General features: G+C 34.3%; 1 protein-coding gene across 1 annotated transcript in view; it reads right to left on the minus strand.

The window, feature by feature from the left end:
- ROCK1 (Rho associated coiled-coil containing protein kinase 1) overlaps positions 1-17,899 on the minus strand; it is a 164,908-nt gene that overhangs the window by 4,713 nt on the left and 142,296 nt on the right. Inside the window, exons 24-32 of the mRNA NM_005406.3 lie at positions 17,497-17,590; positions 17,154-17,242; positions 16,134-16,322; positions 15,299-15,458; positions 8,518-8,588; positions 8,222-8,310; positions 3,549-3,627; positions 3,165-3,426; positions 1,960-2,167 (exon numbers count right to left, since the gene is read on the minus strand). Of these exons, the coding sequence (NP_005397.1) occupies positions 1,960-2,167; positions 3,165-3,426; positions 3,549-3,627; positions 8,222-8,310; positions 8,518-8,588; positions 15,299-15,458; positions 16,134-16,322; positions 17,154-17,242; positions 17,497-17,590 (1,241 nt within the window). The remainder of the gene's footprint in view (positions 1-1,959; positions 2,168-3,164; positions 3,427-3,548; positions 3,628-8,221; positions 8,311-8,517; positions 8,589-15,298; positions 15,459-16,133; positions 16,323-17,153; positions 17,243-17,496; positions 17,591-17,899) is intronic.

The following is a 17,899-nucleotide window of genomic DNA, read 5'->3' on the forward strand; positions in this document are numbered from 1 at the left end:
GTTTACAACCTATGCTCAGGAGAAGGCTGACATAGCATTCTACAGAATTAAGTTAGCAGTAAGGTGATAATACCTGGCATAGTATGGTGGCTGAGAAAGGAAAGGATATAAGTCATTTCAAAGAATTAGGCCTGGTTACTGACAATAGGGCATGAACAAAAGGGATGAATTCAAGATGGCTTTAAGCCTGCTTGGAAGATGTAGGTGACATTGGCAGCGAGGCAAATCAGTGTTAGGTCTCAGCTTCTAATTCGAGTGGCCCTATTAATCTAGGGAGTACACTCTAGGGAAGGTGGTATGTGGTAGAATAGAGGCTTTGGAATTGGACAACATAGGCTTTAGAATTGGACAGAAATGGTTTCCAATCCATTGGCTGTGTGATTGAGCAAACTGCTTAATTTCTCTGAGCCTTATTTACTAATGTGTAAAATGAGAACTTAATGAGATGAGATTTCATTATTTCTCTCCAAGAAAGAGTTAACTGCCTGGTGCGGTGGCTCATGCCTGTAATCGCAGCACTTTGGGAGGCCCAGGAAGGTGCATCACCTGAGGTCAGGAGTTCAAGACCAGCCTGGCCAACATGTTAAACTCCATCTCTACTAAAAATACAAAAATTAGCAGGCCGTGGTGGCATGTGCCTGTAATTCCAGCTACTCAGGAGGCTGAGGTGGGAGAATAGCTTGAACCTGGGAGGCAGAGGTTGCAGTGAGCTGAGATTGCGCCACTGCACTCTGGCCTGGGTGACAGAGCGAGACTCTGTCTCAAAATGAATGAATGAATGAATGAATGAATGAATGAATGAATGGTTATGCCTTATAATTGTTTATCATGGCATAAAACATATTTTTGGAAAAAAGTCCATCAAAAATAGTTAAACAGCCAGGCATGGTGGCTCACGCCTGTAATCCCAGCACTTTGGGAGGCTGGGGCATGCAGATCATTTGAGGTCAGGAGTTTGAGATCAGCCTGGCCAACATGATGAAACCCTCTCTCTACTAAAAATACAAAAATTAGCCAGGCGTGGCATGCGTCTGTAATCCCCGCTACTTGGGAGGCTGAGGCTGGAGAATTGCTTGAACTTGGGAGGTGGAGGTTGCAGTGAGCTGAGATAGCGCCACCACTGCACTCCAGCCTGGGTGACAGAGTGAGACTCTGTCTCAAAAAACAAAAAAAAAAAGGGGGTCATGAGTTCACATCCTTTGAAGGGACATGGATGAAGCTGGAAACCATCATTCTCAGCAAACTAACACAGGAATAGAAAACCAAACACCACAGGTTCTCACTCGTAAGTGGGAGTTGAACAATGAGAAAACATGGACACAGGGAGGGGAACGTCACGCACCAGGGCCTGTCGAGGGATGGGGGGCTAGGGCAGGGATAGCATTAGGAGAAATACCTAATGTAGATGATGGGTTGATGGGTGCAGCAAACCACCATGGCACGTGTATACCCATGTAACAAACCTGCATGTTCTGCACATATATCCCAGAACTTAAAGTATAATAATTAAAAAAACATAGTCACTGATAATACCAAATAATTTTGTATGTTGGGATAGTATGGGAAGTTAACAAAAAAGGGAAAAACAATTTTGGTTTTTGTAGAAAAACTATGCCAACACAGTTAAAAAACAGAAAAGATGATGAAAAGTTTTATATGAATTTCTGCATTAAAAAAATTAAGTTGGTTAAAGCATTAAGGGCTAAAACTATGCCATGTACAGCAACTTATGACAATAAAATTAGACACAGAACTAAATAAATATAATATTGCATGTATTATTATTATTAAACTCTAACAAGAATAAGTTAAACTAATTTATAAAGTCACTGCAATTCACATACAAATACCTAAAAATGATGCCCTCTGTGGTGAAAAGCACAATTAGATTTCTGATTTTAATAGCTGTTATCCAATCATTTTCACATTGTTAAAAACGTTAGCATTTCAAATCCTTACCTAGTTTTTCCAGATGTATTTTTGACCACTTTCCGGAAAGACTGATTTGCAGTGGATCTTGTAGAAAGCGTTCGAGGGGAAGCACGAACAAAACCAGATGGTGGATTCTTAGGGATTTTCTTTACTAAATGAGTTACCCATTTTTTTTGTTCATCCTGAGAACATGCTAACAGCAGCATATCTCTTGCTGATGTTACATCATAACTTACTATGTTAAGGAGGAAAAAAAAAGCATAATTAAAGCCATATAGTTTTTTAAAATCCAACCTATCAAATGCATAGTTTTTCAAGTTCTTAAGGTTTTAAAAGTTTTAATATGCTTAATTAAGCATGAACAATATCTCATTCTCCTTAAGTTAAATAAGGCTGAAATTAAAAAAAAAAATTAGTCAAACTAATAAAGTAAAATCAGAAATATAACAAAATGTAAAACAAATAAATGTATTTAAAGAACATAAGCTTCTTATCTGAAAATAGCTATGGTCTGTATTCTTTCCCTCAAGCTACCTCTGTAAAACTAGAAGATATTCTGTGATACAGCATGCATGCTGATCCAGGCAGTGAATGCCAGACAAAAAGAAGAGGAAAAACTCAAGGGAGGAATAGAGTGGAACTCACCTGTTGCTCTTCTCTCCAACTTGGAATAATTTCTTAGCAGCATGTTTGTTTGTTTTTGTTTGTTTACAAGGGGGTGATTCTCTTTAAAAACACTGTTGGCCGGGCGTGCAATGGCTCACACCTGTAATCCCAGCACTTTGGGAGGCCGAGGTGGGTGGATCACCTGATGTCAGGAGTTCGAAACCAGCCTGGACAACATGGTGAAACTCCATCTCTACTAAAAATACAAAATTAGCCGGGTGTGGTGGCACACGCCTATAGTCCCAGCTACTCAGGAGGCTGAGATAGGAGAATCACTTGAACCTGGGAGGCAGAGGCTGCAGTGAGCTGAGATCACGCCACTGCACTCCAGCCTGGGCGAGACAGAGTGAGAATCCATCTCAATCAATCAGTCAATCAATAAAAATAAATAAAAACATTTTTAAAAGCTAAATCTGTAAATAGCTGCATATTGCCCCACCAGTGTCAAAATAATACTTTCTATAATCTCTTTTCAACTTGGTATAGAAATCACTACACATAAGTTAGTTCATTGAGACTTAAAATTAAATTTGTTATAAGTTGTAACAATAATTACCATGCCTTACCTTTACATGGACAAATTAAGTCCTCTTTCTTATCTAAGTGATCTCTGTGGCACTTAACATGGCATCTTCGACACTCTAGGGCAGGGGGTGGCTTAAAAACATGCCAGAGAGGTTTGGCACAGGCATCACAATTGGCAGGAAAGTGGTAGAGTGTAGGAATAAACTCATGGCCTTTGTGATTTTGGAAATTAGTTTTTTCAGCTTGTTGTACTGGTTCCATCTCTACATCTTTTCTACATTCACCTTCATTTGCATATAGTATCTACATTCAGGAATGGTGAAAGGAAAAGATTTTAAAAATCTTAAGCATTGGTATATTTTACATTTACTTCACAAAAACGCTTAGGACTTAGATTCTTTAAAATTATAACTTCAGATTTTTACCTGGAATATTTTAGGAATTTCTTCAGTTTCAGCTCTATACACATCTCCTTGGGTTACAGGTCTAACGTGAAACAGTTTACTAAAATGAAAATAAATACAGGCCATTTACAAAAACTCATTTATTGTAAAAGACATTTCACTAAAGAGGACATATGGGTGATAAATAAGCACACAAAAAGATATTCAACATCATCAGTCATTAGAGAAATGCAAATTAAAACCACAATAAGTGTCACTACACATCTATCAGAGTTAAAAAAAATAAAAACAGTAGTAACATCAAATGCTTGTGAGAATGCAGAGAAAGTAAATCACTCATATACTGCTGATGGAAACATAAAATTACACAGCCACTCTGGAAAAAGAATATGGCAATTTCTTAGAAAACTAAACATATGCTTACCATATAACCCAGCAAATTGCACTGTTGGGCCTTTAATTTCAAGAAACAAAAATTCATATAACATTTTATATCTATTTAAAAAAACCTGCACATAGATGTTCATAGGAGCTTTATTCATAATAACCAAAACCTAGAAACAACCCAAATAAATGGGTAAGCAAACTGTGATACATCTATACTATGGAATACTACTCAACAAGAAAAAAACAAATTATACTTGGATTGATCTTAAGGGAATTATACTGAATGGGAAAAAAAGCTGATCAGAAAAGATTACACATTATTTGATTCCATTCATATAACACTCTTGAAGAGACAAAATTATGGAGATGGAGAACAGATTAATGTTGCTATGGATTAGGGAGAGGTGGAGGAAGGAAGCTGCCTTTTGACTACAAAAGGAGTAGCACAGGGACACTTGTGATGGAATTGTTCTGTATTTTGAGTGTGGTGGTGGTCATACAAATCTATACACGTGAGAAAGGCATACAGATTGGAAAGAAAGGAGTAAAACTCTTTATTTGGCGATGACATGATTGTATGCAGTTGTCTCGTGGTATCTGTGGCAGATTGGTCCCAGGACCCAGGAGGATTTTGAAGAGAGAGAGTGAAAGAGAAAGAGAGAGAAAGAGAGGGAAGGAGGGAAGAGACAGGAAAAAAAGAAAAGATAAGAAATGGTGTAGTATTTGTATATAACCTAAGTACACCTTCCTGTATATTTAAAATTGTCTCTAGATAATATCTAATATAATGTAAATGCTATGGAAATTGTTATTATATTATATTGTTTAGAGAAAAACAAAACTGTACATATTAAGTACAGACACAACCACAATAGGCCTAACTACATTTTCAATCCATGTTTGGATGAATATACAGATGCAGAACCCATGGATACAGAGGGCTGACTGTGTGTAGAAAAGCTCTGTGGAATTGATCCCAAAACCCCACAACCCTATAAAACTGTTAAGTGCAAAGCAAGATTAAATGATTCAAGGTCAACATATAAAAACAAATACTGTTGGAACAACCAGATACCTATGTGGGGGGAAAAAAGCCAACCTGACCTAAACATCCACCTCTTACCAAACACAGACCACAAAAGGCAGAAAACATTTTAAAAATTGGTACACTGATCCTCATTAAAAGACACCATTAACAAAATCAACAGGTAAGCAACAGATTGGGAAATATTTGCATTACATATTTCTAACATAGGATTCTTATTCAGAATATATCTAGAACTCTTAAAAACCAATCTTAAAAACATAAGCAACCCAATTTAAAAACGGGCAAAAGACTTGAAAAAAGAAAAGATATACAATGGCTAATAACGACATGAAAGATTCTTGGTATTATTAGTTATGAGGAGAATGCAAATTAAAATAACAATGAAATAACATTTAACATCCACTAGAAAAGCTAAAATCAAAGGTTGATATCACCAAATGTTGGTGAGGATGTGGAGCAACTGAAACTCATACTGTTGGTGAATATAAAATAGTGTGACATAATAATTTTTGAGAATTGTTTGGTAGATTTTTAAAAAGTTAAACACAGATCTACTTTATAACCCAGGATTCCAATCCTGGGTATTTACCCATGAGAAATGAAAACATAAGTTAAAAAAAGGAATGCTCATAAGTCTTATTTACGATAGCCCCAAATTGGAAGCAACCCAAATGTCAATCAACACAAAAATGGATAAACAAATTCATGCAATGTTATACTATTCAGCAATACAAAGAACAATCAATACAGACACCACCACAGGTGCAGGCTGAGTGAAAGATGCTAGGCACAAAAGTGTACATTACTGTTTAATTCCATTTATATAAAGTTCTAGAACAGGCAAAACTAATCTTGGCAATAGAAATCAGATCATGGGAAGAGGCACAAGTGAGCTTTCCTTTTTCTTTTTTTTTTTTTGAGATGGAGTCTCGCTCTGTCACCCGGGCTGCAGTGCAGTGGCGCAATCTTGGCTCACCGCAACCTCAGCCTCCTGGGTTCAAGCGATTCTCCTGCCTCAGCCTCCCGAGTAGCTGGGATTACAGGCACCTGCCACCACGCCCAGCTAATTTTTTGTATTTTTAGTAGAGACAGGGTTTCACCATGTTGGCCAGACTGGTCTCGAATGAACTCCTGACCTCGTGATCCTCCCACCTCAGCCTTCCAAAGTGCTGGGATTACAGGTGTGAGCCACCACAACTGGCCCAAGTGAGCTTTCTTCATAAATTAAAAAAAAAAAAAAAAATTCTTTTTTCAGAGACAGGGTCTCGCTATGTTGCCCAGGCTGGTCTCAAATTGAACTCAGGCCAACCGCCCACCTTGGTCTCCCAAAGTGCTGGGATTAGAGGCATAACCACTGTGCCCAGCCACAAGTGAGTTTTCTAAAGAAATACGATTTTTTTAAATCTTGTATTGAGTGATTATATGAATGTTTACAACTGTAAAAAGTTACTGAAGAGAACACTTAAGATCTATGAACTTTATTGTGGGAAATTATACCTTAATAAAGAGAGGAAAGAAATCTCTCATCAATCTAAAAAGTATTTAACTTAGTTGAAAGATAGTATCTTTCATACTAGTGTTTATGTATTATTTCGCTTAAGCTGATAATTTAAATTTTGACAACTAAAGCTGTTTATTAAAAAAACAGAAAATAAAGAAAGAGTATTCTCTAGAACTTGCTTAATTCTTTTCACATTCTAACTATAACCAGCTCCACAAATACTTAATTCCAAAGGGATGATAATACTTTATTTTATATATATATTTCTTTTAAAAAGCAGTTACCAGACTTGACTTTGAATATATATTTTGTTGAATATGTTTTGCCTTTTCTCCTGCTAGTCGGTAAGGTCCTTAATGATGGAATTTACTCATCTTTATACATACTACATAATCTATGATAATATAAGCAGCAATAATTAAGAAAAGATTTTAGAATGAATATAAGAAAAAATACTATATTATAGGCCTCTTTGACCTATCATTACAAAAGAACAGATATATTTATATTTCCCCTTAATAATGACCAAAGAATCCTACACAGTTGTTCTTTTATATCCACAGGGAACTGATTCCAGGAACTCCAAAAATATCAAAGTCCAAGTATGCTCAAGGCTCTTATATAAAATGGTGTGGTATTTGCATATAACCTAGGCACATCCTCCTGTATGCTTTAAAATCATCTCTGTATTACTCATAAGACATAATACAGTATAAATGCGATGTAAACAGTTGTTATACTGTATTTTTTAAAGAAATTTCTATTATTAATAGTTATAAAATATATATATTATATATATAAATATATATATTTATTTATATATATATATTTTATATATTTTATATATATATTATATAAAAAATAATATATATATTTTATATAATATATATAATATATATATTTTATAAAAAATAATATATATATTTTATATAATATATATAATATATATATTTTATATAATATATAATATATATATTATATTTTATATTATATAATATATATATTTTATATAATATATATATTATATATATATTATATAATATATATATTATATATATTATATAAAATATATATATTATATATTATATAATATATATAATATTATATATAATATATATAATACATATAATATATATATTTTTTTTTTGAGACAGAGTTTCGCTCTTGTGGCCCAGGCTGGAGTGCAGTGGCGCAATCTAGGCTCACTGCAACCTCTGCCTCCCAGGTTCAAGTGATTCTCCTGCCTCAGCCTTCTGAGTAGCTGGGACTACAGGCGCCTGCCACCACGCCCAGCTAATTTTTGGATTTTTAGTAGAGATGGGGTTTCACCATGTTGGTCAGGCTGGTCTTGAATTCCTGACCTCAGGTGATCCACCTGCCTCGACCTCCCAAAGTGCTGGGGTTACAGGTGTGAGTCACCGCACCCGGCCCTCTTTCAAATATTTTCTATCCACAGTTGTGGATATGGAACCCACTGATACACAGCTGACTATACTTTTTGAAATGCTCTCTGAACTCAAACTACTAAACACTTGAACTAAAAAAGTTGTCTTCCAAATACATGAAATAAGTATATACATTTTTCCTTCTCACATTTTGCTGAAGATTTAATATAATGTCAACATTTATGCTTAAGAAAAACAGAAAAGTAGGTAACAGTGCTGAAGTAACACAAAATATAAAATAAATTTTAAGTCTAAAAATAATTATCAAAAGTTAGCTCTCAACCCCTTTAAAATTCAATCAAAGGCAACTTACTCTATGTCCAATACCATAGATGGATTGGATTGCTCCTTATCTTGTTCGTCATTATAGAACAAAATTTTTTTGCTGCTTACCACAACATACTGAAATAAGAAAAAGGGGGGAAGAGTTACAAGAGCAACATTAACTTGGTTTAAAGTGATAAGCATAATATTTGCCACTAATATCTAGATTATACTGTATTAATGTAAAATAAATGCTAGTAAAAAAAAGTAGCTAATATAAGTTCTATGCTCCAAAGTAAAATATAGAACAAAATACCAGTTAGAAAATAATTAGGTATATGGTACCTGTTTCTTCCAGCCATATCGTTTGATATTTCCTCTATTTGGTACTGAAAGCCAACCTTCAATTCTTGACTCTAGGAGAAAAAGAATATATGTATTAGTCAGTCTTAAATTGTAACAAAAGAAAAACTATTAAAAGTTGTCTGACAGCATGCAGCAACAAGCAATTGAACACAACTAAATGAATAAGTGCTATAATTTGCTCTTCCATGCTTCAATCACACAAATCAACTTTAATGGCCATACAAATATTGCAGAAAAAAATTCCAAGCCACTTTTCCCATACAATTTAACATTTAGTAATCAATTACAAAAGTATGAAGTAACAATACCCTTAAGAGCCAGGCAAGACTGGAATGGATTGCAGCTTAAATGGGATATGATGTAGAAGACTTTATCATTTAACATTCATATAAAAATAATCAGCAAAAAAAAAGAAAGAAAAAAATAATGCAGCAAGTGGAACAAATCAGAGCCATGATTTACACAAGAAAGAGCAAGCAAAAGTATAGAAGTGTCCTATTACTCACAGAAGACAAGAATAGAAGATAAATAAATAAGGAATGCAGGCAGAATCAACTAGATATAAAGAATAAGAGACAAGTATTTTATTTGTTTTCTCAGTACAATATTCTGATTAAGCTTTTTGGTAAAACAACTTCAATTTGAATTTGTAACTATTTCAATAAAATTGCCCAAATTTGGTTGAGGGGAGCACTTAACTCTAGTGCTAAGTTCAATTGCAATTCTACTCAAACTAAAGAGTTTTAAAGCCTCTTAAGTTTCTGATATCACAATTTGATCAACAGTAAAAACAACACAGAATCCATTTGGTCTACTGCCATTATTTCAACTAGTACGTGCATACCAGGAATTCCTTGACTATTTGATCAAGGCATTTTATAATAATTATTACTATTGTTTAAATATAACTAATGTCTACTAGAAATATCTGGGGGATAAAGACAACTCCATTAGAAATAGTTATTTTAGATCAGGTTGGAAATAAGAAAATCCATTCAATTTAACTATTTTCCGTATCTACCTTATATTTGAAACACAAAAGAATAGAAAAATAACCAATTTCAAAGTATGACACTAAAATATGAGATTATACTATCATTCAAATGGTAATCCTAAGGCAATATATTGTCCGCCTTCATATAATTTAAAAGCTATAAACTCAGTCTTACAGTAACAGTTAACAATAGGTAACATTTACTGATTTATTTATTCATAAATTTACTATTTGCCACATGCTTTATAATATCTCATATTTAACCTATGTATAAGTCCATGAATACAGGATATTATATTCCGAGGAATTCGGAAAAGGTTCTACTGTCATCTTTCACTTACAAAAGAAGAGACTAAGGCTTAGCAGGGTAAACGGACTTGGGCAAGGCAACTCTATCAGTATCTATCAAAGCTCTATGGTTTCAAACCCCGGCAGTCTAATTTCTGAGCTTATGTTTCTAGAGCACAACACTATTCTGTTCGCAAACAAGCTCTGCAGTTGACTGAATTGTGGGAAATATTTTTTTCCCCTACTCCCACCAGGTACGTAATGTCTCCACACCTTTGCTTGTGTTATTCCTCTTCATATAAATTGTTAAAATGGAGGAAATGGTGAGGTAACTTTAGTTCAAAATGATCCCTCTCTTCTCCCAACATTTTTCTTTTTCCTTTTTTTTTTTTTTTTTTTTTGACATGAAGTCTTGTTACGTTGTCCAGGCTGGCCTCAAACTCCTGAGCCTCAGCTTCCTAAGCAGTGGCATGTACCACAGCACCTGGCTTTAATTGCTGCAATTTAGTTCATGAAGTAATTATTTTGTTGCTTAGGTAGTTCCTTGGTAAGTTTTGTGAGAGCAAGGACCATATCTTAACACTTGATTTTATATATCCCATGGCAAATGACACAACGAGGTGGTACTTGACAGATATTTGTTGATTATTTTGTAATTCTGCATTTTTCTGAATTAGCCAATTAAAGTCATCCTTTGTAAATAGTGGTTCCAGTTTAAAAACCAAACAGGCAGTTTTATACTAAATAGCATGCAGAAGACTGTTGATCACATATTGATCATTCACCAATATTTTATCTTATAAAAGCAAAAAAGTTATTGCCAGAAATTTTCCCATTAGTGTGGTAGAAATTGCAGCTCTGGTTTTAAAGTGTAGTTTGGAAAACATTAAGATGAACATTAGTGAGAATGAAAAGGAGTCTTAATATCTGATAATACAAAGTTGTTTAGTATTAGTAATTCCTCACCAAAAACAAAGATATAAAAGCCTTTGAATTCTTGACATTTACACAAAATTTGTATGCCAAAATACCCTATACTTTCACATTATTTCTTTGTGACAATCAATGTCAAAAATATTTATGCTTTCTGGCTCTAGATGTGGGTTAACCTGCCAGTTTTAATATATCTTCAATAAGTTGTTATATGGTATGGCTTTATCTGTCATTTCAGTGTTCCTTAGAAATTTTATATATCAAGGGAATCTTATGAGTCAAATAAGCCAGAATTCTACATTTGCTCATATTTAAATTAAATGAAGAGGGTCAGGGAGAAAATAAATTAAATGAAGAAATCTGGAATGCAAATAAAGGTGTCAAGAATATGTGAAGGTTTTTGCCAATTTACAACAATGTCATGGGAGAAAATTTTAGTTTTTCCATCTGGTGAATTCCCTCAGAGAAGCAACTGAACTAAGCTCAATAATAACAGATAAAAAAATACATACTAGCTTCTCCTGCGTTTCCTTTCCTTACGCCTACCATAGTTGCAAGATAATATACTTACCAGTTTTTAAAATATATAAAGACCTCCTCTAAAATCGGGACCACCTGTAACTTAAGTGGTGATCTGGAGGTATAACGCTGTAAATTCCATCTTTTATATCACAAGCACAGAAAACAGCTTCTCCAGATAACTAAATGAAACTCCCACTGAGAGAACCTCTAAGTCTGGATTATCCTTAATAATATTCTACATATGTACAAAAACAACTTGGCTCTAAATTTTATACAATATATTTGTAGAACAATTTTAACTTATAAGAAGTTAGATGTATATTACTGCAATATCAGCGATTTCTTTACCCAAATAAGAGACAATCTAACTACATGTACATCAATACTCGATATAGCCAATTCAAACATCAGAGCTAACCTCTGAAGACTACCTAATTTATTTAGCTATACCACAAACATACTGCTTAAGAAACAGGGCTAAAGAACCATTTCAAAACACTTTAATTAAATTCAAAAGTGATATAAAAAAGAAAATTAATTAATACTCAACAAGTCAGATACACCAACTTCAAATCACTAGATTTGGGCAAGGTCAGAAACATTCATATATTCAAATATTGGGAAACACACCAAGAGATCCACCATTTTCAGGTTTAAGTTACATAACCTAAGGTCAAGCTGGATGGAAAAGGGTATGATACAAATAATCCATAAGAGATAATGAATATTACTGGAGTATCAATACCAAGTTTTCCTAATCCATCATCTATTTCTACATTCTCTTCAGATGTCTAGGTTAACAGTTCCAAAAGAAGGAAAGAGAAAGAATGAGGAAAAGAAACAGTTATCACATTAAAGTTTTTTGTCATCTAGGCAACAGGCACCCATAACCGTAAGGGTAATCTTTATGTTTGTATTGTGTGCTAGGTCACAACCTGCTACAGAACCAAAGAGAAGATAAAGACATAAAAGAATTAAGAGAATGAAGGTGACTTCAAGAACTTCAAAGAGTTATAAGTCAGAGAAGGAGTAACATTTTTTAAATAAAGTTTTTAGAATTGGGAATTTTAGAAGGGAGATTTAATATTTAAGCTAGTTAATAACAAAATGGCCACTAAGGATTCATAGAGGCTGCGTTCTAGATGTGCAAGATAATTAAATTATAATCTTTATACTGAATGATGAAATATAAGAGAAATAATAAAAGTTGCAGTGTCAGTTTATCCATCCAACTACTTAAAAAAAAACTGAAAAATGTGACCCATATTTCAAAAAGCCATCATTTTAACTTGGAGTAAACTTAATCTATTCAAAGCCCTCTCCTTTTTAGTACGTATATTCATTTACTTATTTTCTAAACTGAAGTAAAAATTAATCATTAGCCATTACCTTCAAGAAATTTTTTAGACACTTGAATGATATGTAACTATCTAATATTAAGAATGAATATCAACATTCTTTAACAATTCTTCCTAGATATGAATGCAAAACCTTAACTTTATTTGCCAGGGACCATTTTTGAGCATCTAGTAAATGGTGGATTTAATACAGATTTTCAATTTACTAGCAAAATATCTGACCCACAGAGAGGTAAATAATATTGACAAAGACTATCCATTAATTTCTACTTCCAATATGAAAGTCAAGGTTCAGCACTGTTGAGATTTTATAAAGTCTCAAAATTAAGAACACAGTAATAGGAAAAGAGGTATTAACTGGCCTCTTCTAGCAAGGGAGAATGGCTACCAGTACTCCCCGCCCCACTTGGTTTGGACTTTGATAACCTTAAAAACAAAATTCCTGAAAGTACACTAATATTCTAAGAAATATACTGAAAATGGAGCTAGTAGAAACATTTAAAAATCTCTTTGCTCAATAAGTCAATTTATTAGGTCAGGATTCTGAAACCTAAATGGATTCCCAGCCTAAGTCTGCCAATGAAGCCAGCTGATGGCACTATGAGCTTAGCCTTTCTGAATCAGCCACGATGGTGGGTAAAATTAATCACTTTCCTCATTAGCAGTCCCACCAGCTCACCTTTCAACTCAAATCTTCTAACTAGCATTCACCAATAATGTGTCCATTTCTGACATATTTAACCCAATACTAAGAACACTAAGGTGCATATAAGGCATTATAAATAGTTAAAGGGAAATGGGTGGAATAAAAATAAAATTGGTCAGGATTTCGAACTGACACTAAATAGAGCAAGGTCGGCCAGGCGGGTGGCTCATGCCTGTAATCTCAGCACTTTGGAAGGCCAAGGCAGGCAGATAGCTTGAGCTCAGGAGTTCAAAACCAGCCTGGGCAATATGGTGAAATCCCGTCTCTACAAAAAATTAAAAAAATTAGCCGGGTGTGGTGATGTGCACCTGTAGTCCCAGCTACTCAGGAGGTTGGGGCAGGAGGATCGCTTGAGCCCAGGAGGCAGGATCATGAACCAAGATCACGCCACTGCACTCTAGCCTGGGCAACAGAGTGAGACTGTTTCATACATACATACATACATATATACATACATACATACATACATACATACATACATACATATATACATAGAGTAAGAATGTATACATACATACATACATAGAGTAAGAATCCCTATACTAAATAACTCCAGAAGTATCTCAGGGTTAATGAAGTGGGAATCTAACCTACCAATTCAGTTCAACAATTGAAAGAATGTAGCCAAACACTTCTAAAAGTCATATTCTTAGTGATGATTAAGTCTAACTTTAGAAAGATGTTCAAACAATAACTAAAGCTACAGGTTCTTATTAAATTCAAAGTGATCCTACAATAATGAATCGTGTGTACCTGCAAGTTTCTCAAGAGGTAGGCAGTTTCAGAGAGCCAAAAATAGGTAAACAGAGGAGTTCCTTGACCACTAAAATAAGAAATATTTCTTCGCTGCCTTTCCATTCCCAGATACCTGATTTTGACCTAGCAAAGCCACACAAGAATGAGGCCAGGGATCACATAGCATACAGAGAGGAGCTGAATTCATTTCCCACTTTGAGTCCCACTTTCTTGACCAAGAAAGATACTATAAAATTTTCTGAGTGACTCCTCTAGTTCCTTATATCAAATTCACAATAACAAGTAATATCTGTTAAAACAGAATCCCAATATCAAACATGCTGCTTCATAAATATCTTCCTATTTATGTATTATTCAGAAAATACACTAATTAAAATCTATTTTCAAGTGTATTATCATGTATACAAAACTTCCAAGACTCTGAACTAAGACTCTGTGTATATGTAAATGCATGTTTTAATAATGATAACCTACTCATTTTATTTCTAAATTGAACTTATAGTATGTGTATTTCTCATCTCTGTAAAGTACATAAAGGTATTATAGTTTACATGACGATTAAACCAAGAATGAGGTTGTGTTTATTTTTAAATTGATTCTCCACTGGGAAAAAGAAGACACAGAAAAAAGTCTCAAATCTTAGCCACTCATTCCTGCCTTTATTTGACACCCCCGGCCTCTTACTGCACTGCCCAACCCATTTTATCTATTTCCCCAAACTTAAAACTTAGCAAAGTCTGACTGAAGTTGATCACTACTCCACTAGATAGGGTTCTATATGTAGCTGCTGTGGTTCTGATGATAAAGTACAGTTCTTAGTTTTAGCACAAGAATACATAAAATGTTAAAGAGCTATTACTCACAAAAATGTACAACTTTTAAAAAATAGTGAGATGTGTAGTAGCAGCTTTGACTCTCACTGTGGACTTAGGCTGCTCAAAATAGGTTCATAAACCTCTTATGGTTTTTATTCAGGTAAAGCTTCTTAGGTCTATTTAAATAGCCTAAGATTGCTTACAACTGCTCTACTCCACAAAATACACCAAGTGTATAATCATCATCAGGCCTTGGCTATCAGAAATAAGAATTCCTTCTTAGGAATCCATGGACAAAATGACAAGGAGGTAGAAAACCAAATGAAAGAAATATACACTAATTTCCATGACATTTATACATGTTTGAATGATACAGAATTATTCTTACCTGGGAGGTTACCATCAGTTTCATCAGCACTAGGAAAACTAGCAACACTTGTAGAATCCGAGAGGTCCAAAAGTTTAGCACGCAATTGCTCAATATCACTCTCTTTGCTGGCCAACTGCATCTGAAGCTCATTCCTATGTGCACATTCTTCTACCAATTGCTAATTTTGAAAAGTATCAAGATAATATAATCAAGCTAAAACAATTTCCAACATTACTAATTGAAATATGATAATTTAAATTGCTAATACTAAAAATGTACAGTAAACTTCATGAATGTTTGCTACCACAGATTTTGATACACTACAGAAATGTCAAGTTCTTTCTCAGTAATACAATGCTCGGACAAATTCCTTTTCTCCTTGCCTTAAAAAGAGTTTTTGTTTTTGTTTTCAAACATAAGCCATCAAAACAAAAAAGTTACAACAAAAGAAAATGCTTTTCTGGCTCCAAATGAAGTAGCTTTAAAGGTATAGAAAACTTCAGAAAACCATAACTGATGGAGCTAAAAAGCTTAGATCTAAGTGCCCGAGACCAGGTTCTCAATTTTGTTCTATTAACAAGCCAAGGGGTATCAAAAAATTAAGCTTGTTATTTTGATTTCAAAAAAGTGAGTCTTGACTAGAGAAAATAAATAAGCTACAATACTTCAAAACCTCTACCCCAATTATAGTTAATATTATAACAGCCATATCCCAATTTCAGTCTGAAACCAAACAGGCAGAACCCTTGATTGTTCCCAATCTAAACAAGATAAATAGATAACAAGTATATACAGAAATAATTTAAGAAAATAATCCTTCACACTCATATCCATACACACACAGAAACCTTACCGCTTGCATGTCATTCAGTTCCTTCTGATGTTTCACTACCATCTGGTTGAATTTCTCTCTTTCTTGGTTGAGTTCCAGTTGCAGCTTTCGATTTTCCTTTTCTTTCTTTCTCAAATCTTGTGTATTAGCTTTCTTTCTATCAATTTTAAAATCTTTTCGATTCATTATTTCTGCCAATTTGTTAACAGCCTATTAAAATATTATTAATAAAGATCAATAGTGTAGTCATCCAATTTAATACTAAAATGTATTTTTTTCTTCAAAATCAGGAAGCAGGACTTTCTGTGTGTATGAAAATTAGGACAACTTCATGATGGTTGAGACATGATAACTGGTAGCACAAGTAACTAACACTGACTTATCACACTACTTAAATGTAAGAACCAGGAGCCTTTCTTTGGTTAACTTTACAACCCAGTACTGAATCAAGAGTATGCTAATCCTACTCTGATGTTGGGTACTAGCAAATAAAGCTTCTATGCCTTGGCCACATACTCTTATCTTCTACAACTATACAATATTACTAGGCAAGTTAGCTTTCTTAACTGAAATCCTATTTCTTTTTTTTTTTTTGAGACTGGGTCTTGCTCTGTCGCCCAGGCTGGCATGCAGTGGCATGATCTTTGCTCACTGCAACCTCTGCCTCCTGGGTTCAAGCAATTCTCGTGCCTCAGCCACCTGACTAGCTGGTATTACTGGAGCGCACCACCACGCCCGGCTAATTTTTGTATTTTTAGTAGAGACTGGGGTTTCGATGTCAGCCAGGCTGCTCTCGAACTCCTGGCCTTAAGTGTTCTGCTGGCCTCAGCCTCCTAAAGTGTTGGGATTACAGGCATGAGCCACCGCGCCTGGCCTTGAAATTCTATTTCACAAATAAGTTTTTTATAGTTAGCGGGGAGAGAATTTATTTGTTCTGATGAAAAGCTTGAACCTTATAAGCCTTGGTTTTAGGAAAAAGTGCATAAAGAGCAATGATTAACTCAAAAATGAACATGTGGAAAAGATCGAAAGCATGTATACCTGTGTTTTAAGGGTTCGTTCAGTGTTGATATTCTTTTCAAAGGCAGCCTTAAGATTACTGATCTCCTCCTCCTTCTCCAGTTTATATTCTGTCAACAAATTATATTAAATGTTATTGTATGGTATTAATTTAATTTCTGCATTTCAAACTAACAATGTCTTTAATTATTCAAATAAGTATACATTACATAGTAACTTTCAGTAACTTCATTAAGATAATTCTTAAGGCTACAGAAGTTACTTAATATATGAAAACAGGTATCTTAGAAACCTAACACAACATAGGTAAAGATAAATCACTGAATTTGATTTAACATGATGATTTTTTAAAAATTCTACATACCTTCCTCTGCCTTCTTCATTTTCTCTGTTAGCTCTTCATTCTCTCTTCTTAATATTTCAATATCTTTGGTTAGCATGCTGTTTGCTTCTTCAAGCTAAACAAAGCACACAAAAGTTTAAGCTCCAGCCTCTTTGCTATTCTCGTATTTCAGGCAGTAACCTTTAAATATACTGCTAGATAAAGACAGGTCAGACACTGCTGAACTACAGCAAATGTCTGGTTTCCAGCTTAAAATATGTAATTACATCAAAAATATTTAAAAGTAGTTAACAGCATCCAAAAATTATTTCATTGTATGCATATAGATATATGTATGAACAAAAGGGGGGCATATGTAATGGCAAGATAACTAGATTGCAAACTAAGAAATTTGTATTTAGTTCTAGCTCTGCGATTAACCTAG

This window comes from Homo sapiens, chromosome 18, assembly GCF_000001405.40.
Source record: "Homo sapiens chromosome 18, GRCh38.p14 Primary Assembly".
In the NCBI taxonomy this organism is placed as follows: Eukaryota; Metazoa; Chordata; class Mammalia; order Primates; family Hominidae; genus Homo; species Homo sapiens.